Consider the following 23,897-nt stretch of genomic DNA (forward strand, 5'->3'; position numbering starts at 1 on the left):
CAAATTGGCGTGTAAGGCAGAAGTCACACGGGCTTTTTCTAGGGGGACGCTTCACTGGGTATTGCACCAGACATGCTGTCTCTCCATGGGCCATCGGACTCAAGTCCTGTCTTTCCCCTAGTGTTGGAGCAGATAATTGTTTCTTTGGTCAAGGACTAGGTGAAGTTTTAGGCTTGGGTTTAAGGGTTGTGTTATATTGTATGCAAATTTTATATATTGAAAACACTCGGTGCTAGAAGAGACCCTTAAGGCGAGACTCACAGAACGGAGAGCTTTGGAGACCAGGGCAGACTTGGGTTGAATTCTAAGTCAAACGCACAGATGATGAGCTCCATGGCTTATGCATCTGGCATACTTTTTTCCCCAATATCCCACCCCAACAAGTGGAAGGTCAGGACATGGATGAACTCTTCATTTTGCAAAACTTTATACTGAAAAAATGAAGACACTAAGAGGAACCACAAAAAATATATATATATTTATATATATATTAGCAACAATACAGTGCAAAGTAGTTTGATACATGAATTGTCACCCCTCTTTTCCCCAGTGCCCCCCAAAAACCTGTAAATAAATTCAGAAGAAGAATGGCCTAACATCGTGTCATTCAAATTCACTTTTTTAACCTAGAAAAGTCACAAAAACTTAAATTTGTTCATACCTACTGAAAATAATTTTAAATTCTCATTCCACCCCTATAACTTAGCAATTAATTTGGTATTTAAAAATTATGTAAAGCAATCCTTTTTAAAGACAGAAGATGGTATAATGGTTAGTCCCAATCAGTCTGTATTAATTACATAATTTTACTGGTTACAGTCTGGCTGGTGTCATTTTCTGCTTCTGCAAATGGAATGGTCTGGAGTTAATAATGTCTAAATTCCCTTCCAGTTCTACCATGGTAAAACCTTGAGTCTAACTTTCCAACCCTCTGCCTTCGTACCTTTAATTCAGTCAAGCCAGGGTTCCACAGGGAGTTCTGGTGTGGACACCGGGCTATGTTTTCTAGTTGCTTTAAACTGCCCTTTGTAATGTTTTTAGTTGGCACAGTCTCCTCGAATGCCTTTAAGACCTGAGGAAGATACAGGTTTACAATCAGCCATTTAAAATGTGGCTTCCTCAGGGGACCGGCACTAAATGGGATGCATTTCAGGAAGCAATCCTTGAAAAGATCTGGTCTCTGGAGAGAACTCAAAGTGTTGGAAATCACACCCACGGTCTCTGCTCAATTGCAGCTCCTGCAATGGCCAGACAGCTACACCACTGTTACATACTGTTATTATTCTTCCTCTCCCATCTGAACATTAACCGAGCATTTAGCAGGTGCTGGCACTCAACAGTGCTTTACACGTACTACACCGTTTAATTCTCACAACAGTCCTCCAAGGGAAGTACTGTGACAACCCTTGTAAAAACCTAACTTTGGTACCATGCGGCAGGGTACACTATAGAAAGTCAACCGGGCCGGGCGCAGTGCCTCATGCCTGTAATCCCAGCACTTTGGGAGGCCGAGGCAGGCGGATCACGAGGTCAGGAGATCGAGACCATCCTGGCCAACATAGTGAAACCCCGTCTCTACTAAAATACAAAAAAATCAGCTGGGAGTGGTGGCGTGCACCTGTAGTCCCAGCTACTCGGGAGGCTGAGACAGGGGAATCACTTGAACCTGAGCAGCGGAGGTTGCAGTGAGCCGAGATTGCACCACTGCACTCCAGCCTGGTGAAAGAGCAAGACTCTGTCTAAAAAAAAAAGAAAGTCAACCGAGGCACATAACTCCAAGACTGGCACTCTTAACCACTCCAGTGCACTCCCCCAAAGTGTGATGTTCTGCAGGGGACACAAGAAGGCATGGTTTAATATTACAAGAGCCTTCACAGAAAGATCACCAGGTAGGTGACTGATGACATGGCTCAAAAGAAGGTGTGAACCCACAGGCCAGTCATGAGGATCTACTGAGGAGACACGTTTGCAGGCATGTCTTGAACTCCATGTTCACAAGGAAGCACCACCTTCACCTTGCTATTCAACAGTCCATCCTCAGGAGACCAAACATCAGGCAAAAACACGGTTCTTTAATGATCTTAAATCATGAGCTTATTTGACAGCCTTTAAGACTTCAAACTACTAGCAAAATTCTCATATCCTAGGCATTAAAGTTCATGAACTATCATTCTGTATCATTCATTCACATGTTTACTGGGAATATATGACTACGTGCAAAAGACTGGCAATGTGCATGTCATAAGAATTAGAGCACACAATTAGGGTAAGTGCCCAGCAGATGCTGTACACATCCTTCCCCAGGCACCCAACTAGTTTAGAAAGACTGGGCTGCTCTCCAGTGTTCGCCACGGAGGCAGACAGGGAAGTGGTAAAGAATCAAGCTCTGGAGTTGAGACATACACAGGTTCAAACCCTAGCTCTACCATAGTTTCCTAATAGCCACAAGATCTTAGAGAAACTAATAATCTGTCTGGGCCTCAGCCTCCCCATCTGTAAAATGGAAAAGTGGGATATTGTGGAAGACCAAGGAGATCATGTATTTGAAGTGCTTCATGTTGCCTGGTGTACAGTAAGCACTCAGTACACATTAACTATTATTGTGACTGCATTCTTCCTTTCACCTATGTTCTTTTTACCTCCTTACAGAGGAATAATCCACAAATATACTATGGTTCCTTTCAGGCAGCACCCCTCCCAAGTCGACGGAAGCAGTTGGCCTATGCACAAATCATATATCCTGATGTTCTCTTTCGAAGGAATGAAAAGTCCTCATTCTGATTCACAGTACAGTGATTCATGGTTCTCTTCCTCTTCTCTTGTCACCCTCCTCCCCTCCACTGAAAACATGAAAACACAATTAAGAAACCACAGGGCTGAAAGCTGCAGACTCTTCTAAGTCAAGCTGCGGGCATTTTCCAAGTAGGACTAGGTTGATTTCTGACCTTAGCAGCAGTCCTGGAGATGCCGGCAGAGGGTCTGAAGCAAAATACACCCTGAGATCCAACTTGGTAGCAGCTGTCTTGGTGATCTCTACAGCGGATGTGACAGGCGGGTGAGCTGGTGGTGGCCGGCAGTTCCTTCTCCTCTAAAGGAAAAGCCTGCAACAAAGTACAGCTCGAAAAACACACACCGCATCACTTTGCTCATCCTAAATGTAAGAAAAACCTGGCTTGAGACACTCACCATTATTCATTCTCTTTAAGAGGCTCTTTAGAACAAAACAAATCACCGGTGAAAACGATATCTGTGTACTACTCAACTTACCACTTCACCGGGTCAGTGTCCTCCAGGACAGAGGTCAGTTTCCACTCCCCCTATTTCCTGCCCAGGGAGTAAGCATGTGATCATCAACTTACTACATCACTGCCCAACCAGTTCCACTGTGAGAAGGGCTACAGCATCCTCTTCTTCACTGCCTTTGGTCATTACTCATCATGTAATTGTAGATGGATTTCCAAACCACAGAACACTTGAAGATATACTACAGGTGGCACTCACGCTTGACACAAGTTTTACTTCAGATGTTAGAGATTTCTGCATGTATTATCATCATGTTCTCCTGTACAAGACAGGGGTATTGTCCGGAACCACAAGAATAAATGAGATACACCCACCAGATATTAAGTTTCCACAGAGACCAGACTGTTTCATTTACCATTGTATTCCTGATGCCTAGATCAGCAGCCAGCACACAGAAGGTGCTCAGTAAGTATTTTTTGAATAAACGAAGCATCTTGCTCTCAAAGTGCCAATGTCTATAGTTTATAAATACATGTAAGCATTAAACATATAAACAGTCAATGTCATGAGAAACATGACGCAAGGAGGCACAAAATGCTAGCAATGCTAGAAAAGTCTATACTTTTCACAAAATTAGCAGCCTTTCCGTTTCTAAGCTCACAAATCCCTCTTTCATATAGTACAGGTCCCCTATTCAAAATGCTTGGAACTAGAAGTGTTTCAGATTTCAGATTTTGGAATTTGTTTTGTTTAGTTTTGTTTCGGAGATGGAGTCTCCCTCTGTTGCCCAGGCTGGAGTGCAATGGCACAATCCTGGCTCACTGCAACCTCTGCCTCCCAGGTTCAAGCGATTCTCCTGCCTCAGCCTCCCTAGTAGCTGGGATTACAGGCACCTGCCACCATGCCGAGCTAATTTTTTTGTATTTTTAGTAGAGACCGGATTTTACCATGTTGGCCAAGCTGGTCTCAAACTCCTGAACTCAAGTGATCTACCCACCTGGCTTCCCAAAGTGTTAGAATTACAGGCATGAGCCACCATGCCCGGCCTAGGAATCTTTGTATTATACTTACTGGTTGAGCATTCCAAATAGAAATATCTGAAATCAGAAATGCTCCTGTAAGCATTTCCTTTGAGCGTCATGTTGACGCTCAAAAAGTTTTGGATTTTGGCTTTTGGATTGAGATGCTCGGCCTATAGTAAAAGTGGTTAACATCTATTGATTTCTTATTGTGCACCCGGCATGGAGTTAAACATTTTATAGACATTACTGAATTTATTCCTCAAAACACCCCTATTATGTAGAAGTAGGAACTAAGGCTTAGAGTGATTACAGGATCCAAGATTACACTGGTAGCAAACAGCACTGGTACAAGATCTGTATTCTGGGGACTATCCTAATGCAAATGGTTCTGTAGGGAAAATAATATGGTCCTTGCATGCAGGATGGAACAGAAGTTGGTGAAGGTCATAAGTGACTAAGGTGGGGGATGATTGGGAGATATGGAAGAAACCAATTCCAGAGAAATGTCAGAGAAAGGTGCGGTGGTATTGCTAATAGGTTAGAGAGATGGGGGAGGGCAGGCACTCAAGATGACTAGCAGTTCTGATTAGTAGTGGCACCAACAAAATAGAAAAAAATTATTAACCTGACATATAGACAAATACAGCTTTTTCACCCAGTGAGAGAACATAAATTTAAAAAAATTTTTTTAAATAGCTAATATTTGAAAGCACACACCTTTTTTTTTTTTTTTTTTTTTTTTGAGAGGAAGTCTCACTCTTGTCCCCCAGGCTGGAGTGCAATGGCACGATCTCAGCTCTCTGCAATCTCCGCCTCCCGGGTTCAAGAGATTCTCCTGCCTCAGCCTTCCGAGTAGCTGGGATTACAGGCACCTGCCACCATGCCTGGTTAATTTTTGTATTTTTAGTAGAGACAGGGTTTCAACATGTTGGCCAGGTTGGTCTTGAACTCCTGACCTCAGGTGATCCACCTGCCTCGGCCTCCCAAAGTCCTGGGATTACAGGCGTGAGCCACCGTGCCTGGCTTTTTTTTTTTTTTTTAAAAAACAAATACTTTCTTATTTAAGACACACAATCACTCCCAGAAGAGTGGAGTATTACCTCTTTTACAGATGGGAAACTGGAGGCTCAGAAAGGCTATTTAGGACCTTGCCCCAGTGGTCACCCAGTTAAGAAGCTCGAAGAGCCAGAATACAACCCACGTAGGTCCAGAGCCCCAGCTGTCCACCACTATACTCAAGTGGCTGGAGAGGGCATTTTAGAACACTTAAAATGAAAACCAACTAAAAGAAAACCTAATTCACACATCATTAATAAAAGCCAGTTACTGTATAGAAAGCAGACGGCCTGTATTCTTAAAAAGATGATAGGCTTTAACTATCTAGGGCATGAAAAAAAAGTAGGAGTCTAATTATGGATGCTCTTTCTTCTAAAGTAGAGAGATATGTGCATCAAGTTAACAAGCACCATTTCTGAGTTTTACAAAGATGAAGTTTTAAAATGTGAATGATCCTGACTTGTCAGCTTAGCAACAATCACAGAATTCATTACTTACATTTTCACTAAGGGGGGAGGGGTTATCTAGGTCAGTCCACCTAGATGTAAAAATAGATTTCTGCAATGTTGAAAGAGTACACTGCCTCATTATTATTCCAGTCTCAAAGGCTGAAATAAGCCCAGCAAGACAGACCATGTAGTTTCCCTGTTATCTCAACAGGTATTGATTTTGAATTTAAAAAATGACCATTCAGTAACTAAGAACTTCATCTCATGGAGTCTTTGCCCACTTCTAGGCAGAAACTCCATATCCCTGAAAGATTAGTCGACTCTTCCCATGACCCCCTAGTTCTCATTGGCATTTTTAGGGGAGCTAATTCACCAAATGAGTTCATAAAAGGGTTCTTTTTAAATCCTATACTAGTTTCCTCCCAAGGAGATGGTGACATCAAGAAATTAGCACTCGATGTCTTCCTCTCGCATCACATACGTTCTGGGTGTCAGGAAAACATATCTTTACAGCTGCATCCAAGTGAGTTCCACAATACAGGAGCTACGATCATTTAAATGGATGAATACTTTCTGCACAGTAAAATTGTTGCTTTCCCTTCATTACAACAGACTTATTGTAGCCTCAGGACAGACTTGAAATTACATCAACCCTGCTTGAGAAAAGTTATTATTATGAGTTTACAAAAATTTCACTAGTTCTACCTATTCCTCGCTGTCTCAACAATAAAAAACCTAAAAGCAGATAGCTGAGAAGTTTCAACTGGGACCTCAAGAAGTCCAGCATCACTGTAGTAGAATTTGTGATTACGGTCTGCTGAAGTTCTAGCCCTTCTCTGATTTCCTCTCTTCACTAGATCTGACTGGCCCAATGTGCTAATTTACGATAATCCGCACATATAATGTCTAACTCAGTTTTAATACACAGCTTATTTAAAAATCGGGTATCTCCATGCTAACAATACAAGGCAGCAGGTACAATAACATTGTCAGTAGAATTGTTTTATTTATTTATTTATTTATTTATTTATTTATTTAAAGACAGAGTCTCGCTCTGTGCCCAGGCTGACGCGATCTCGGTTCACTGCAACCTCCGCCTCCCGGGTTCAAGTGATTCTCCGCCTCACCCTCCCGAGTAGCTGGGATTACAGGCGCCCACCACCACGCCCGGCTAATTTTTGTATTTTTAGTAGAGACAGGGTTTCACCATCTCGGCCAGGCTGGTCTTGAACTCCTGACCTGGTGATCCACCTATCTCGGCCTCTCAAAGTGGTGGGATTACAGGCATGAGCCACCGCCCCCGGCCCGTCAGCAGAATTTTAAAGAAAATCAAGAAATCACATAAGGTTTTGACCTTTTAATAGAAAAGACTGGCGTAGACAGGCAACAGTGGCAGATGCGGCAGAAACACTCTGCAGTTACCTTACACAATTGCTTTACCACATTCCACCTAAGCAGTTGAGGCACAAACTTTATCACCACCATTTTACAGGTTATGAAGAGTGAGTTTTGTAAAGTTGCATGAGTTTTGCCAAACCACTTAAATGAGTTGACAATGAGCCATCCATCCCGCTAAGATTACTAATCTTGTTTACACAAAGAAGATCACAGTTGTGACAAGAAAAAACAAGCTTTCACATTTCAAGTCTGCAATATTAACTTTACAGAATCCTCTCAATTACAAATGCATTCGAAGATGATCTCCTTTTCTTCATAGTTCTGTTAACTAGCATTACAGCTATCCAAGAAGAAATGTCTACCTGTGGGTAAGCACATTTCTTCAATGTTTATTCCAAATGGAGTTTCTGGTTATTTTCACAGCAAACTGTTACGAAACTTATACACAAAGTGCAAAAACAAGAGAATTGTAAGATTGAGATGAGTGCATGAGGTATTATTCCACCAAATATATTCAATCTGTAAAAACTCAAATCATCCTTCCAAAATGATTAACAGATGCTAAAGGAAAAAGGGAAAGCGGGCAAATAAACCAGAGACTCATTGCTTCACTTCTGGGGCAATCGATTACTACTTCAAATTATGAGTGAAGACCAAAATCCTGCACAAAGGGCCGCGACACAACCCCGTCACTATTGCTACTATTTCCATCCAGTTGGTCTCTCGATCTTGGAAGTGGCAGGCCAGAATCTGAGCCCGGCTCTCCCTCCGTGAACTTTACACAGAGGCTGACACCCAAATCCCCAGTTCTCGGACAAGCGAGTAAGTAGTTGGCGGAGCAAAGAACAACTCCAGGTGCCTCCTGCCAGAACAGATGCCAGCGTGGAGGAGGTGCTTTGTTAAATGGCACTTCAATCAGCCCTGGGGAGAACGGGTTACAGAGCCTCACATCCAGCCTCGACGATTCAACAGCCCGGGAGGGCAAAGGTATTCACCGGGGAGGGCGAAGGCTTCCTCTCCCAGGACAGACCCGCGCTTGGGCTGCGGCCTCCGTCTTTATTTTGAAGCCCTACAGGGCTCGTCTCTGCAGCAGGCTCAGAATGAGCTATTTTCGCCCACAGCCAAAATCAGCAACAGCAAATTACACTGCAAACAATGGCGAGGGCGCCTGCTCGGCTCGGCTCGAAACTCCGGAGAGGCAGCGCAAAGATTCTGACTTTTCACTTGGGCAGAGCCCGTCCGCCGCCTCCCCGCGCTCCGGCTGCGCACCGCGCTCGGGTTCCGGCCACACGCCCCGAGGACAGGGAGACAGGGCGGCCGCCGGGACGTTCGGCGGGGAGGGCACCGTCACACCCAGGGCGAGACCCCGGAGACCTGGAGACGCGGGGCCGCGGGTGGCCGGGTGGCGGGATTCCCTCGCGGAGCGGCGGGCGCTCCCTGGCGGGGAGGACAGCAGAGCGCGGGCCGTCGGGGAACCGGGCGTCCCGCATAGCGCGCGGGGACCTGGGCGCCGTGAGGGGCAGGCGGACCTGGGATCCCAGAACCGCAGCCTGGGCTCCGACGCCCCCGACGCCCACCCTTTTAGCTCGGAGGATCGGGGAGGCACGGACCTCCGGCGGCAGCGGAGGGCGGCGGCGAAACGCCGGGGGCGCGTGGGTTAGCACTGAGCCGCCGCCCCAGCCCGCCTCGCCCCCGGGCCCGCGCGCACCCGCCGCCCCCCAGCCCGCTGCGCTCACCCGGCTCTTGCAGCGGTGGTGCCGGCCGGGGTACGAGTAGGTCCGGTCCACGGTGAGCGCCGTGTCGCTGCCCGGCATCTCCGCGCTCCGGCCGCGAACTTTCCCGTCTTCTGGGGCTGCCGCGCCGCGAGCCACCGGCTGTGCTCGGGATCACCCTGGGAGCCGCGGGCGAGGGGGCGGCGCGGCTGCTGCAGCTGTTGCCTCTGGTGCCAACACCCGCGCGGCCGCCCTGCGCCGCCGCCGCCGCGGGGTGGGGGAGGCGGGGCAGGAGGCGAGAGTCTCCTCCCCCTTCCCTTCTCCCCGCCTCTCCCGCGCCCCGCAGCCGCCTGGACCCCCCACCCACCCCCGACCCGGGAGGCAATGTCTTCGCCTCCCTCCCTGGCTGAAAGTTGATTCCATCCCCTCCCACACAGCCCTCTTTCTCCCCAAAAGATAAGCGACATCCACACTACACTATCTGTTGACTTATTTTATATATAAAAGGTGACTGTTACTGCAAGAAGTTGACACTTGCCTTAAATGCCTCTTTTTATGTTATTCTCCATTCAACAGGCACTTACTGGGCAGCTGCCATGTACCAGACGCTGGACTAGAGACCAGAGATTTAAAGTAAAAAAATGAAATAAAATAAAAACTCCCCCCGACCATGATTGCCCTGAGCATAGAGCATACTTCCACTTAAACTAAGATCCTACTGTGTTGTGTATTTTAATTTTGCATATCTGGCTCACCTTTATGTTTCTTTCTTTTTTTTTTTTTTTTGAGACTGAGTCTCGCTCTGTCACCCAGGCTGGAGTGCAGTGGCGCAATCTCGGCTCACTGCAAGCTCCGCCTCCCGGGTTCACGCCATTCTCCTGCCTCAGCCTCCCAAGTAGCTGGGACTACAGGCGCCTGCCACCACACCCAGCTAAATTTTTTTGTATTTTTAGTAGAGACGGGATTTCACCATGTTAGCCAGGATGGTCTCGATCTCCCGACCTCGTGATCCACCTGCCCTAGCCTCCCAAAGTGCTGGGATTACAGGCGTGAGCCACTGTGCCCAGCTTACCTTTATGTTTTAAGCTACTTGGAAGTCAGGATATCTTTTCATTTTAGTATTCCCCATTCCCAGTCATCAGTCCCTGCCCACAAGGAATTTGGAGTTTAGAAGAGGAAGGACCATTGGTGAACAATTTAAATATCAGTAACCCCAAACAAAATTCAAAACACCTGTTCTGGCTCTGTAGGGTGTACAGTGGGAGACTGGGCTGAAATATTTAAAGTGCAGCTGTTCCAGAGAGGACCTGGAGCCCAGTGTGACCAGTCCAGGGGGAGGGAAGGATTTCCCTCATAGGGTTCAAAGGGGACGGTAGAGCAGGCTGAAGAAAACTTTGGAGCCCCTAAAATCAGAGGTACATTTGGGAAAACCTCAAGTCATCAGTTTTGGGGAGTGTCCTCAGGAACAGGAAGACATGATGGAAAAGAAGGCAGAGACCATGCAGAATCTTCGTTCAAGGGTAAGAAGTTCAGCCTTATTCTGTGGGAACTGGGTAGCTGTTGGAAATTCTTGAACAGGGAAATGATAGCATGGGAATGGAAGTTTAAGGAGAAGGTATATCTGACATCAGGGTGAAGCAGCGATTGAAGATGGGCAAAACACACTGGCTTCTTAGAAGGCCACTGTAAAGACAGAATAGCCTAATTATCCTTCAGAAGGAGACTAAGTAAATAAATGATGGTACATCATCCAATAGAATATTAGGTAACTGGAATAGAAATGAGGCAGCCCTCTATGAATAGCTTTGGAAGCAAATCTAACATACATGGTTCAGTGGAAAAAAAGCAATGTGCAGGATAATATATATGGCATTCCACCATTTATGTAAAAACAATATATGTTATGTGCTTCTACATGCACGACATATATCTGGGAGGATAAATAAGAAACTAGGGAAACAGACAAGAAATTGATGCCAAGAGAGGGGAACCAGGTAGCTAGAAGGCAGAGATGGAGAGAGATCTAATTTTCACTGTGTATACTTTTGAAACTTGAATGTTTATACTGTGGGCATATATTAACTATTCAGAAAGTAAAATTTTTTAAAAAATGTTTTTTAGAGATAGGGTATCTGTTGCCCAGGCTGGGGTGCAGTGGCACAATCATAGCTCACTGCAGCCTCAAATTCTTGGTCTCAAGGGATCCTCCCACTTCAGTTTCCCAAGTAGCTAGAACTACAGGTGTGTGCCACCATTTCTGGCTAATTTTAAAAATATATTTTTTTGTAGAGAAAGGGTTAAAACTAACTTAAGAAGAAATTGAAAGTCCCATGTAGTCCTTAAGCCATTCAAAAAATTAAATCAACACTTTTAAAAATACCCATCTACCACTACCCCAACACACAACTATACTAGACCCAGAGAGTTTTTCAGGTAAGTTCTTTGAAAGAAGAGAAATACCAAACGCTGGGGTGTGTGTGTGTGTGTGTGTGTGTGTGTGTGTGTGTTGGAGGGAGATTTTAGCTAGGGTGGCTAGAGAAGTCCTCCATGATAAGGTGACCTTGAGCAGAGACTTGGGAAATGAGGAAGCCAGAAGTATAGACATTGAAAATTTCCAGCAGACAAACAGAAAGTCAAGGGCCCTGAACATTTCGGGAGTGTTCAAGGAAGAGCAAGGAGGCCAGTGTTCACTGGAAAGAGATGAGGTCAGAGACATTTCAGAGGGCCAGATCATATATGGACTTTCATTCTATTTTAAGAACTTTAATTTTAGGCAGGGCGTGGTGGCTCACGCCTGTAATCCCAGCACTTCAGGAGGCTGAGGTGGGCCGATCACCTGAGGTCAGCAGTTCAAGATCAGCCTGACCAACATGGAGAAAATCTGTTTCTACCAAAAATACAAAATTAGCCGGACATGGTGGCGCATGCCTGTAATCCCAGCTACTCAGGAGTCTGAGACAGGAGAATCGCTTGAACTCAGGAGGCAGAGGTTGTAGTGAGCCAAGATCATGCCATTGCACTCCAGCCTGGGCAACAAAAGCAAAACTCTGACTCAAAGAAAAAAAAAAAAGAAAAGAAAGAACTTTAATTTTGGGGAATATGGGAAGATTTGGAAATTTTTGAGCAAAGGAGTGGCATGATCTACCTTTTCACTTGGATGAAAATAAAATTGATCTCTACCTCACAGCATAAACAAAAACCAATACCAGATAAAGGAAAAATAAAGAAAAAAAATTAGCTGGACATGGTGGCTTGCACCTGTAATCCCAGCTGTTCAGGAGGCTGAAGCAAGAGGTTCACTTGAGGCCAGGAATTCAGCCTGGGCAACAGAGCAAGACCTGTCTCTAAAAAAATTAAAAATTAAAAAAAAAAAACAGATTAAAGACTTAAAGTGGAAAAAACACAACTTAAAATTGTCAGAAGAAAATGAAAGAATATCATTATTATCATCTCAAGTAAAAAAAAAAACAAGACACAAAAAGCATAAACCACAAAGGTTTGACATTAAAAAAATTAAACTTCTGCTTATGAAAATAAACAATAAAGTAAAAAAATAAGCCACAGACCAAACTCCAGCTAAAAAAAAAAATCAATATGGACAAATTTCACAAACAATACTGAGAAACAAAAAAAGCAAGCCACAAAAAATTACTTGCAGTAAGATTCATGTAGGCTGTGTGGTAGCTCATGTCTATAATCCCAGCACTTTAGGAGGCTGAGGTGGGAGGATCACTTGAGCCCAGGAGTTCGAGACCAGCCTGGGCAATATAGTGAGACCTTGTCTCCACAAAAAAAAAAAAAAAAAGATTCATGTAAAGTTTTTGTTTGGTTGGTTTTTTTGTTTGTTTGTTTTTGGTTTTGAGACAGAGTCTCACTCTGTCGCCCAGGCTGGAGTGCAGTGGCACGATCACAGCTCACTACAACCTCTGGCTCCCAAGTTAAAGTGATTCTCATGCCTCGGCCTCCTGAGTATCTGGATTGCAGGTGTGCACCACCATGCCCGGCTAATTTTTGTGTTTTTAGTAGACATGGGGTTTCACCATGTTGGCCAGGCTGGTCTTGAACTCCTTGCCTCAAGTTCAAGTGATCCACCCGCCTCACCCTCCCAAAGTGCTGGATTGCAGGCGTGAGCCACCACGCCCAGCCTTCCTGTAAAGTTTAAGAAAAGCAAGAGGATAATAAACACAAATTTCAGGACAGTATCTCTGGTGGGGAGATGAAGAAGGCTTCAATAGAAAAGGGGTACACAATTATAAATATATAATGCTCTTTAACAAATGACTGTTGGTACACTGGATGTACATTCATTCATACATACACACAATAGTGAAGAATAATTTAAAATTTTAAAGGTAACAGAGTCTCAAAGGAACAGATATGGTGATATCCTTAATTCTGGAATTCAAATCACCAGTTAGGGGTACCTTCTCAAATAAATAAACATAATAGCACTTTACGTGTGAATAAACTCAGAGAGGCCCTGACAAACCAGGGTTGGGCTTTGCTTGGGGGTACCAACAGGCATCTACTTTCCATTTCTATTACTGTCTTGATGTTTCTTAGAATTCCATCCTGGAATGCTGACCCTCAATGAGAAGGATAAATTAAAACTTTATTAGGCTCATTTAAATGTCAATTAACAAAGGATGTTCTTTTTTAGATCATTTAAATTTATTTCATAAGCTAGTTGCCCAAAAGCTGCTCTGCTGGGCACTCATACAAAATTATTTTTTAAAAATATACAAATTAAATAGCAGAAGAGCAAGCTCCCCAGAACAGAAAGAAAACAAGCAGTGCTGATCACCATCTGGGTCTCCTTTTGGGAGGCAGAACCCAAGGGGAAAATAGACCACATCCCCTCCTTTGGACGCAATGCCAATGCCTAGGGTTTTGTCAGCCCTGGAGAGAGAGAGAGAGGGAGAGCGCAGGTGCAAATTCCTCCTGTCAATGTAAGAATTCTGTGCTTTTGATACCTCCAAGAGCCTCTCTCTGCAGAAAGTATGGAAAATATCGCACTGTTAAAATAACAAATGCAGTCAGAACAATAAGAAATACAAAGGTTCATACCTAAGGTGTGAAATAAGAATTTACTTGCAAACTATAAGGAAGGAGCACAACAAGACAGCAGATGCTAAAAGCACCAAAGAAGAGACCAGGTCATTTGAGCTGTAATAGTTTAAAGTTTGGAGTGAAAGGCCTATGGAAAGAGGTAGGACTACACTTGACTTTTGTAGTGCGTGTTTGTTGTTTCAGCCTGCCCAGGATCCCACCCCTTATTCTGAAGACAGTACCTAGGTTTTCTATTGGGACCTACCCTACTCCTACTTTTAATCCAAATGGCTTAGATAAGGTGGACCATTCCCATCCTTGGATCTAGAGAGTGGCATGTCATCCAGCCTTGGCCAGTCAGAGTCACTGTGGCTTGTGCAGGGATGGGCACATGAGCTAATCAGAGCAGATGAGAGTCATCCCCAGACTTTTGTCAGAACTGCTGGGAAAGCCTATGCCCTTCCAGTGGGCATTGCTAAGCTGGTACAATGCAAGCCTGATGCTGTAGTGGACATCCTTCCACCATATAAAGACAGCCTCCCTGGGAAAGCAGAGCCATGAAACGGAGAAAGACTTCTTACTAAATCCTTAGAGCACTAGATCCAGCATTTTCCATCTGCTATCGCTGCATGACAAACCACCTTAAAATGCTTTGGCTTGGCCAGGTGCAGTGGCTCACGCCTGTAATCCCAGCACTTTGTGAGGCAGAGGTGAGTGGATCACCTGAGGTCAGGAGTTCGAGACCAGCCTGACCAACATGGTGAAACCCCATCTCTACTAAAAATACAAAAATTAGCTGGGAGTGGTAATGGGCACCTGTAATCCCAGCTACTCAGGAGGCTGAGGCAGGAGAATTGCTTGAACCCGGGAGGCGGAGGTTGCAGTGAGCCAAGATCACGCCACTGTACTCTAGCCTGGATGACAGAGCGAGACTCCATCTCAAAAAAAAAAAAAAAAAAGGTGTTGGCTTACAACAATAACTACCTCTCATTAGCTCATGATTCTGCAATCTGGGCAGGCCTCCAAGGGAGGTGAGGTGGCTTTTCTCTGTTCCATGTGGCACTGGGGGGGGGGGGGTAGGGTGTCCAAGATGGCTTCATTCATATGAGTGACATTATTATATATATATATACATTGGTTTTCACCCATGGTTCCTGGCTTATAATTACCAATGCCCCTGTAATAGTCTCTTGTCATGATTTTGGGGCACTTTAGATCCCAGAAGCCAGCCTCAGAAGCCTTATCCTACCCTTGTTCCAGCTGCTCTTTTCTCTCCTGAAGGAAGGAATCTTCCCCCGCCTTTCTGTCATGCAGCTGGCCATGAAGAAATTCTCTGACCTACCTTGTCTGACTGTAGGACATAAGGTTCATTTTAGAAGGGGTCCTGCTCCATACCCTGGAGGAAAGAATGCTGCACAGAGAAGCCAAGAAGAATCTGAACAGACAGGCCTTGCTGGGTCTCGCCACTCAGTCTCTTAGTACTAGATCATATACCCTTTTGTCCAGTCACATTTCTACATGGTTGTCAATCATGCCCACCCAGTGACGTCTCCATAAAAGGCCGAAGAGTACAGGGTTCAGGGGGCTTCTGGATAGCTGGACATCTATGGAGGGTGGTGTACTCAGGGAAGACACAGAAGCCCTGCGCTCCTTCCCCTACCTCGTCCCATGCATCTCTTCATCTGTATCCTTTCTGATATCCTTTATACTAAACCGGTAAATGTAAAATATAAGGTTCCCTGAGTTCTGTGTGCTGCTCTAGCAAATTAATCAAACCCAAAGAGGGGGTCATGGGAACCCCAACATGAAGCCGGTTGGCCCGAAGTTCTGAAGGCCTGGGCTTGTGACTGGCATTTGAAGGGCAGTCTTGGGGACTCTGCCTTCAAACTGTGGGGTCTGACGCTATCTCCAGGTAGAGGTGGAGGACACCCAGCTGGTGTCCAGAACTGATTGCTTGCTTGGTGTGTGGGGAAACCCCTCTCCCATATTTGGTCACAGAAGTCTTCTGTGTTTATTGTTTTTGTAGTGTGAGAACAGAGGAAAAACATAGTTTGAGTTGATTTTTCTACAAACAACGTGTCAGCACCTATAAGACTTAGGGTGGCTGGAATGGTGGGGGCTGGCCGGGCCTCTGTCTTTATTTTTATATGTTTATAGTTTTTTAAAAAACTTTTTATCTTACTCTGTCACCTGGGCTGGAGTGTGATGGCATGACCATAGCTCACGGCAGCCTCAAACACCCAGATTCAAGCTATCCTGCCACCTCATTCTCCTGAGTAGCTGGGACTACAGGTGCATCAGCACGCCTGTCTATTTTTTGTAGCGACAGGGTCTTGCTGTGTGCCTAGGCTGATCTTAACTCCTGGCCTCTCCCACCTCAGCCTCCCAAAGCTGGGATTATAGGCATGAGCCACTGTAGCCGGCCTGTTTATACTTTTTTAAATACTTTTTTTTATAGTCTCTCATCTCTCCATCAGGGTAGTTGGATTTTTTTACATGGTGGCTGCCTTCTAACACAGCAAAAACAAAAGCTGCCAAATCTCCTAAGGCCTAGCCTAGAACTGGCAGATTATCACTTCCATCACATTCTACTGGTCAAGGCAAGTCAAAAGTCCAGCTCAGACTCCAGGGGAGGAGAAACGGGGTCTACCTGTTGAGGGAAGGAGTGATGTGCACATAGATGGGAGAAATTGCTGACTGCCATTTTGGCAGCCAATCCACCACACCAGCCTTGCCTAGACCACCTTTTCAGTGATATGAAGCAATGGATTCCTCTTTTTGCTCAAGCCCGTTAGAGATGGGGTTTCTGACTCCTGCAACCCAAAGAATCCTGTCTGATGCAACATTCAATGCAGGGTATGGGCAGAAAGAAGACAAGGAAAAGGGCAGCATTTCAAGAGAAGGCAAGAACTTTGAACAGCACAAATAAAGGGAGAATCAACAGAGGATTCTAGTGGGGGCACCAAGGACTCTAGAGTTTTCTCAGGCCACTAGCTTGAGTCTTCTGTGGTCAGTCCACACCAGATTACCTGTGAACTGCTCAACTATTTACAGTCTGGACTAATTATTTCAATACAAAGGTTATAATACATTATATTCTTTAAATATTTCATGTGATAATTTCTATGCTTCCCCCCTACACACACTAGAGTATAGGTTACCTGAAGGAAAGGACTGTACTTTCCAGGTACATGTAGGTATTCTGGACAGTTCTTAACATAGTATTCAATAAATGTTTGCTGAGTGAATGAGATCAACATTATTAAATGTCTACTTATTTCCTAGGCATTGGGGTTTTAAAAAATGACTCCGACATAAGCAAAAACTAGTGTCTGTTCCTAAGGGGTTGGAATGGGTAATAGGAAAGGATGAAAATTCACTGAATGATGGATGTTACCAATTTTCAGCTACTAAGTAGTTAATGACATTTGTGAATTCTCCCGTCATTTATTGAGCACCTTTGGTGTGACAGCCTCTGCTCTTGGTGCTGAGAATATAGAAATGAGTAAGACATCCAGAAGGGACAGCCCATCTAGACAGTGAGGCAGACACCTCCAAAAACGTTGCTGTAGATGCCAGGATAGTTATGTGCTTGGCATGGTAGTAGGACAAAGGAAGGAGGTGGTCTCCTCATGCAGCTCACTTCCTTAGATGTTTCAGTCCTATGGTCATCACAGCAGGGAGAAGGAGAGACAAGGAAAGCCAGATGTTGAAAACAAAAGTACAAGCCTCTTGTAAAGGAAAGGAAAATGTATTTCTTTTCATATTCCAGTTTGATTTAATAGTGCAGGGAAGTGTTCCCTTTGGGGGAAAGAGTCATAAGACAAAAAGTACAACAAGCTTCCCTCTGCAAGGATATAAGAACAGAGCAAAAGGAAGAATAAATCAGGTTTTTAAAATGTATTCTTCTAGCTTGAGGTGAACACATGCTGATCAGCTCTACATATCTATATTACAGATAGATAGATAGAAATGCTTATGTTGCGGATCAGCAGCTTTCTGGCCTGATGCAAACATGGATCTCTAATTCTAACTACCTGGTTTATAGCCAACTAAAAATGACCACACTCTTAACATCTACATTTAATTTCTAACATACCATGTTCTATGTGACTGCAAATAAACAATCACTGCTACTTATTTAGTATTAGCAATTATCTGGCACAGAAGCCCGAAACTTCCACTTGGCAAGATTTTGATTAAAAACAGGAAAGTAGACAGACTCAATTGAAACTCTGCAGGCTAGGGAACTTGCCTTTGAATATTCCTTTTTTTAGCAAATGCAACAATTCCATGCTATTGATTTCTCAAGAGCAATGAGAAAATTCTCCAGGCTGCCTTCAAGTGTCCTGGGAGATGGTCTTCAACATGTGCCTTGCCTGCAGACTTGAGGCTACATAAAGAAGTACAAAAATGTATTTTACTTCATCAAAAGTAAACGCTTTTGCTTCTCAAAAAACTCTGATAAGAGGATAAAAAGACAAGATACAGATGGGAAGAAAATATTTACAAAACCAAACATATAACAAGTGATGAGTACCTAGAATGTATAAAGAATTCTCAAAACTCTATAGTAAAAAATAAACAATCCTTGGCCCGGCGCAGTGGCTCATATGTGCAATCCTAGCACTTTGGGAGGCCAAGGTGGCAGATCACTTGAGATCAGGAGTTCAAAATCAGCCTGGCCCATATGGTGAAGCCCCGTCTCTACTAAAAATACAAAAAAAATTAGTGGGGCGTGGTGGCGGGTGCCTGTAATCTCAGCTGCTTGCGAGGCCTAGGCAGGAGAATCACTTGAACCCGGGAGGCGGAGATTGCAGTGAGCCGAGATGGCGGCACTGTACTCCAGCCTGGGAGACAGAGCAAGACTCCATCTCAAATAACAATAAAAATAAAAATAAATCCAATTTAAAAATGAGCAAAACATAGGAACAGACATTTCACTGAAGAGAATATACTAATGGCAAATAAACACATGAAAAGATGTTAAATGTCATTAGCTATTAGGGAAATGCAAATTAAAACCACAATGAGATGTTACTGCTCACTTATCAGAATGGCTACAATAAAAACGAGTTATAACACATATTGCTGGCAAGGATGTGGAGAAACTACATAAATCATACATTGCTGGTAGGAATGTAAAATGGTTCAGCCTCTCTGGAAAGCAGTTTGACAGTTTTTTATAAAACTAAAACATGCAAATCTCCCATCTGACCCAGCAACTGCACTCTCAGGCATTTATCCCAGAAAGAAAACATGTTCAAACAGAAACCTATACACAAATATTCATAGCAGCTTTATTCGTAATTGCCAAAACCTGGTAGCAGCACCATGTCCTTCAACATGTGAATGGTTAAACAACTGTGGTACATCCATACCATGGAATATGACTCAACAATAAAAAGGAACAAACTATTTGATATGCATCCTTTTTTTTTTTGAGATGAAGTCTCGCTCTTTCTCCCAGGCTGGGGTGCAGTGGCACAATCTCAGCTCACTGCAACCTCCGCCTCCCAATTCTCCTGCCTCAGCTTCCCAAATAGCTGGGATTGCAGGTGCCTGCCATCACACCCAGCTAATTGTTGTATTTTTAGTAGAGACAGGGTTTCACCATGTTGGCCAGGCTAGTCTCAAACTCCTGACCTCAAGTGATCTGCCCACCTCGGCCTCCCAAAGTGCTGGGATTACAGGCATGAGCCACCGCACCCGGCCCCACTTACATAGCATTCTTGAAATGATAAAACTATAGAAAAGGAGAAGAGATGAGTGGGTACCAGGCTCTAGGAACGGGAGGGGGTAGTTGCAGGAGGGAGGTGGGTGTGTTTATAAAAAGGCAGCACCAAGGATCCTGTGGGGATGGAACTGTTCTGTATCTTGAGAGTGGTGGTGGATAGAATTGCACAGGACTAAATACACACATGCACACACGCAAACAAGTACTGGGGAAATCTGAATGAGATTGATGGATTGCACCAATGTTAATGTGATATTTGTACTGAAGTTTGACAAGATACTACCATGGGAGACACAGATACTACCACTGGGGGACAGGTAAAGTGTACAGAGTTCCTCAGAAGTATTCCTTACAAGTGCATGTGAATCTACAACAATCTCAAAATTAAAAGTTTACTTAAAAATGTGTTTTAAGGCCAGGCATGGTGGCGCACGCCTGTAATCCCACCACTTTGGGAAGCCAAGATGGGCAGATCAGTTGAGGCCAGGAGTTCGAGAACAGCCTGGCCAACATGGCAAAACTTTGTCTCTACTAAAAAGACAAAAACTAGCCAGGCGTGGTGGTGGGTGCCTGTAATCCCAGCTACTCAGGAGTCTGAGGAAGGAGACCTGCTTGAACCCACGAGGTGGAGGTAGCAGTGAGCTGAGATCGTGCCACTGCACACCAGTCTAGGTGACAGAGACTCTGCATCAAAAAAAAAAATTAAATTAAATTTAGATGCAACTGTAGTCATTTTCACAGAAAAAACTGGGTTTTGGGAGGAGGGGAACAACACAAGCAGGAGTGAACTTTTTCTCTGAAGAAGTTGTTCACAGAATATTCTACCAGGTTATGGCCCTTTGCTGCACCAGAGGAGTTGACCAGCTGTGGAAACTGAGGGCAAACAAAGACTGTAGGTGGTGCTCATTAATATGACCACACATGTCAGTACCTGGCCACAGTGCATGCTGTGTCTCAACCACACAAGTTCAGGGCCAACGGCAATGTCCATTATCCTTGGCCCATCAGTGTGGAGCAAAGCACCTGGCACAAAGCAGTGATTCTACAAGGTTTTTATGGAATAAATAATGGATAATTAAGTCCTGATTTGGTTGGAAGAACATATTAACGTTCATAGATTTGGTTCAGGTTCAAAACAATTCATTATATGAGTTGTTTAGTAAAAGGTTACATAGCAAGTTTGAGTAGAGAATTTTGCAAATTCCTTTGAGAGGTGGAGGCGGGCGGATCACTTGAGGTCAGGAGTTTGAGATCAGCCCAGCCAACATGGTGAAACCCTGTCTCTACAAAAACACAAAAATTAGCCAGGCATGGTGGCACACACCTGTAGTCCCAGCACTTTGGAGGGCTGTGGCATGTGGATTACATGGGGCCAGGAGTTTGAGACCAGCCTGGCCAACATGGCAAAACCCTGTATCTACAAAAAATATAAAAATTAGCTGAGTGTAGTGATGCACACCTGTAATCCCAGCTATTTGGGTAGCTCAGGCATGAGAATTGCTTGAACCCTGGAGGCAGAGGTTGCAGTGGGCCGAGATCATGCCACTGCACTCCAGCCTGGGCGACAGAGCGAGACTCTATCTCAAAAAAAAAAAAAAGAAAAGGAAATTTTGCAAATTCATGTGCTTTGCTTTGCTCCATGTTTTATGATTCCTATATTGGTTTGAGTCTTTACTTTATATCATGCACACACAGATTATAATATAAGTGGTTTGCTATTTCTAACCTCTTGACTCTACCACTTGGAAAGAGTTTCACTCTCTGATTATCGTGTATGACTACTGGCTATTTGCTACTGCAGTTTTCCAGAAGTCTACAACAGGGTTAGAAAACAAACATAGATAAAAATGCCTTACTTTTTACTAGGCACGAAATGTTCCATTCAGTTAAACCTGTAACTGGACTTGTGATGCTTGGGTTCCTACTTCACACAACCACAGAGAAAGCAGTTCTCTGGGGATCTCTAGCTGACTCCATTCTATGCACGGCTAGCCCAGGAGAATTGTCTTTCATTAAGCACATACTGAATCTGAAGGATGAGCTAGCTACACTCCAGGAACATATCGTCCGTGAATTCACTTTGCATTTTATCAACTCACTTTGCAGGATAAGGAAAGTGGGAAATGAAACTGCCAGAAAAATCTGATGTGATGTTGTTTTTAAACAGTCCAAGTCACAGTCCTTTCAAAAGAGGATGCTGCTTGCTGAAGCCTTCCTTGTCCACTCCAGTCCACACTGTTATCTCTCTCCCTTCTCTGAATTCTGACAGTATCTGTTGCTTAAATCACTCACATAAACATTCAATTGTAAATGATCTTGTGCTGTTACAGGGAGGCGGTATGGTGTACTGGAGGCAGACTGCTTGGATTCACATCTTGGCGCTGCTCCTTACGAGCTCTAAAGCCTTGGTTCTCACATTCATAAGCTAAGGATAACAATAGTACCCACCTCATACTGTTGTTGAGGATTAAATGATGTAATATATGTAAAGCACTTATAAATAAGAGCTCGATAAATGTCTGCACAAACAAAACAAAACCTAAAGTCTGTCTTCACGTGGTATCTCTTTCTCCTTACCAGTAAGACTTCAGTAAGGATGTATGCTGTTATCCTGGAAAGTGTCCTAGTAAGGTGGAGGATGCATTTTGATGCCGTATGTCATCATCACAAATTTTGTGAATAGGATTAGGATGAAAGTAGGAGCCTGTGGACAAGCTCTGGACCCCGGCCATCCCTCCCTCTCTGCCTCTGCTTGTGCTGTTCCTACCACTGCAGAGTCTGCAAACTTGCACAAGTGACAAGGGCACACTTCCTCCTTTTACACTAACCTCCAGCTCCTTTCATTCCCAAGGCCGTAGCTCCCATGTAGAATACACAGAGTCTTTTTGCTGGTACACTTTGACCAAAATATTCTACTTCTAGGAAGCTATGCTAAAGAAATAATAGGCTGGGTGTGGTGGCTCACGCCTGTAATCCCAGCACTTTGGGAGGCCGAGGCAGGTGGATCACGAGGTCAGGAGTTCAAGACCAGCCTGGCCAAGATGGTATAACCCCGTCTCTACTAAAAATACAGAAAATTAGCCAGGCCTGGTGGCACGCACCTATAACCCAGCTACTCTGGAGGCTGAGGCAGAGAATTGCTTAATACCTGGAGGGGCGGAGGTTGCAGTGAGCCGAGATTGTGCCACTGCTGTCCAGCCTGGCAAACAGGGCAAGACTCTGTCTCAAAAAAAAGAAAAGAAATAATACAGGAAAATACAGAAAAACTTTTACACACAAACATCACACATTTTGTCATTCTGAAAAAATTAAAACAATTCAAAGGATTATTTATTATGAAAAATCATGGACTGATTATATAAATTATGATATATTCATAAAAAATGCAGTGCAGCTATTGACAATTATACTTAGGAAGAATATGTAATCATATGAAGAAATGTTTCTGTAATGATATTATAAAAATTATAACAGGCCGGGCATGGTGGCTCACGCCTGTAATCCCAGCACTTTGGGAGACTGCGGTGGGCGGATCACAAGCTCAGGAGATCGAGACCATCCCAGCTAACATGGTGAAACCCCATCTCTACTAAAAATACAAAAAAATTAGTCGGGCATGGTGGCAGGCACCTGTAGTCCCAGCTACTTGGGAGGCTGAGGCAGGAGAATGGCGTGAACCTGGGAGGCGGAGCTTGCAGTGAGAGGAGATTGCACCACTGCACTCTAGCCTGGGTGACAGAGCGAGACTCTGTCTCAAAAAAAAAAAAAAAAATTATAATAAAAAATCAGTATAACTCTACAAGACTGACAAAAATAGAAAAGTATTATGATACTTAGTGCTGGTAATGATCTGGAGTAGCAGGAACCCTCATGCCCAGCCACTCCATTCCTCAGTATATATCTATCCCGGAGGCCACACATCAACCAGGACACACGTACAAGAACATTCACAGTGGTAACAGTCCCTATCTAGAAACAACCCAATTGTCATTCCACAACAGAATGGATAAAGAAATTGTTGTACAGTTATTTCACAATTAAGGTCAGTCATTTGTTGCCAAAAATCAAATGTTCCATGTGAAAATGCTAACAGGGAGCCTGTTATCTTAACTCATTTTGCAAAGTAGGGTTTTTCTGTTATGTGTATCAAACCTAATACTGACTGCTACAGAGCCTAACAAAATGCCCCATGCAAAGTATCACAAATGTCGATATCTTCTGTCCCACCCCA

The 23,897-nt window shown here is 44.2% G+C and overlaps 1 protein-coding gene and 1 long non-coding RNA gene across 2 annotated transcripts in view, besides 4 other annotated features; one reads left to right on the plus strand and one right to left on the minus strand.

The window, feature by feature from the left end:
- The window catches only part of TMCC3 (transmembrane and coiled-coil domain family 3), an 83,436-nt gene extending 74,327 nt beyond the window's left edge, over positions 1 to 9,109 (minus strand). The window contains exon 1 of the mRNA NM_020698.4: positions 8,905 to 9,109. Coding sequence (NP_065749.3) covers positions 8,905 to 8,982 — 78 coding nt within the window. The 5' untranslated portion in view covers positions 8,983 to 9,109. The remainder of the gene's footprint in view (positions 1 to 8,904) is intronic.
- On the plus strand, positions 4,990 to 9,554 carry LOC105369914 (uncharacterized). Its single transcript, XR_945225.4, has 2 exons — positions 4,990 to 8,155; positions 9,457 to 9,554. It is a non-coding gene; the product is annotated as an uncharacterized LOC105369914 (long non-coding RNA).
- Positions 8,353 to 8,482: a silencer, noted in NCBI's record as "silent region_4728". NCBI's record gives its function as "represses an Ori minimal core promoter by ATAC-STARR-seq in GM12878 lymphoblastoid cells {active_cell/tissue: GM12878}" and the evidence as "EXISTENCE:reporter gene assay evidence [ECO:0000049][PMID:35858748]".
- Positions 8,561 to 9,276: an enhancer, noted in NCBI's record as "H3K27ac-H3K4me1 hESC enhancer chr12:95043785-95044500 (GRCh37/hg19 assembly coordinates)". NCBI's record gives its function as "activates a minimal SCP1, AML or CMV promoter by ChIP-STARR-seq in naive H9 embryonic stem cells {active_cell/tissue: H9 hESC(naive)}" and the evidence as "EXISTENCE:reporter gene assay evidence [ECO:0000049][PMID:30033119]".
- Positions 8,573 to 9,042: a silencer, noted in NCBI's record as "silent region_4729". NCBI's record gives its function as "represses an Ori minimal core promoter by ATAC-STARR-seq in GM12878 lymphoblastoid cells {active_cell/tissue: GM12878}" and the evidence as "EXISTENCE:reporter gene assay evidence [ECO:0000049][PMID:35858748]".
- Positions 9,063 to 9,232: a silencer, noted in NCBI's record as "silent region_4730". NCBI's record gives its function as "represses an Ori minimal core promoter by ATAC-STARR-seq in GM12878 lymphoblastoid cells {active_cell/tissue: GM12878}" and the evidence as "EXISTENCE:reporter gene assay evidence [ECO:0000049][PMID:35858748]".
- Positions 9,555 to 23,897: the final 14,343 nt, after the last annotated feature.

Source organism: Homo sapiens, chromosome 12 (assembly GCF_000001405.40).
Source record: "Homo sapiens chromosome 12, GRCh38.p14 Primary Assembly".
In the NCBI taxonomy this organism is placed as follows: Eukaryota; Metazoa; Chordata; class Mammalia; order Primates; family Hominidae; genus Homo; species Homo sapiens.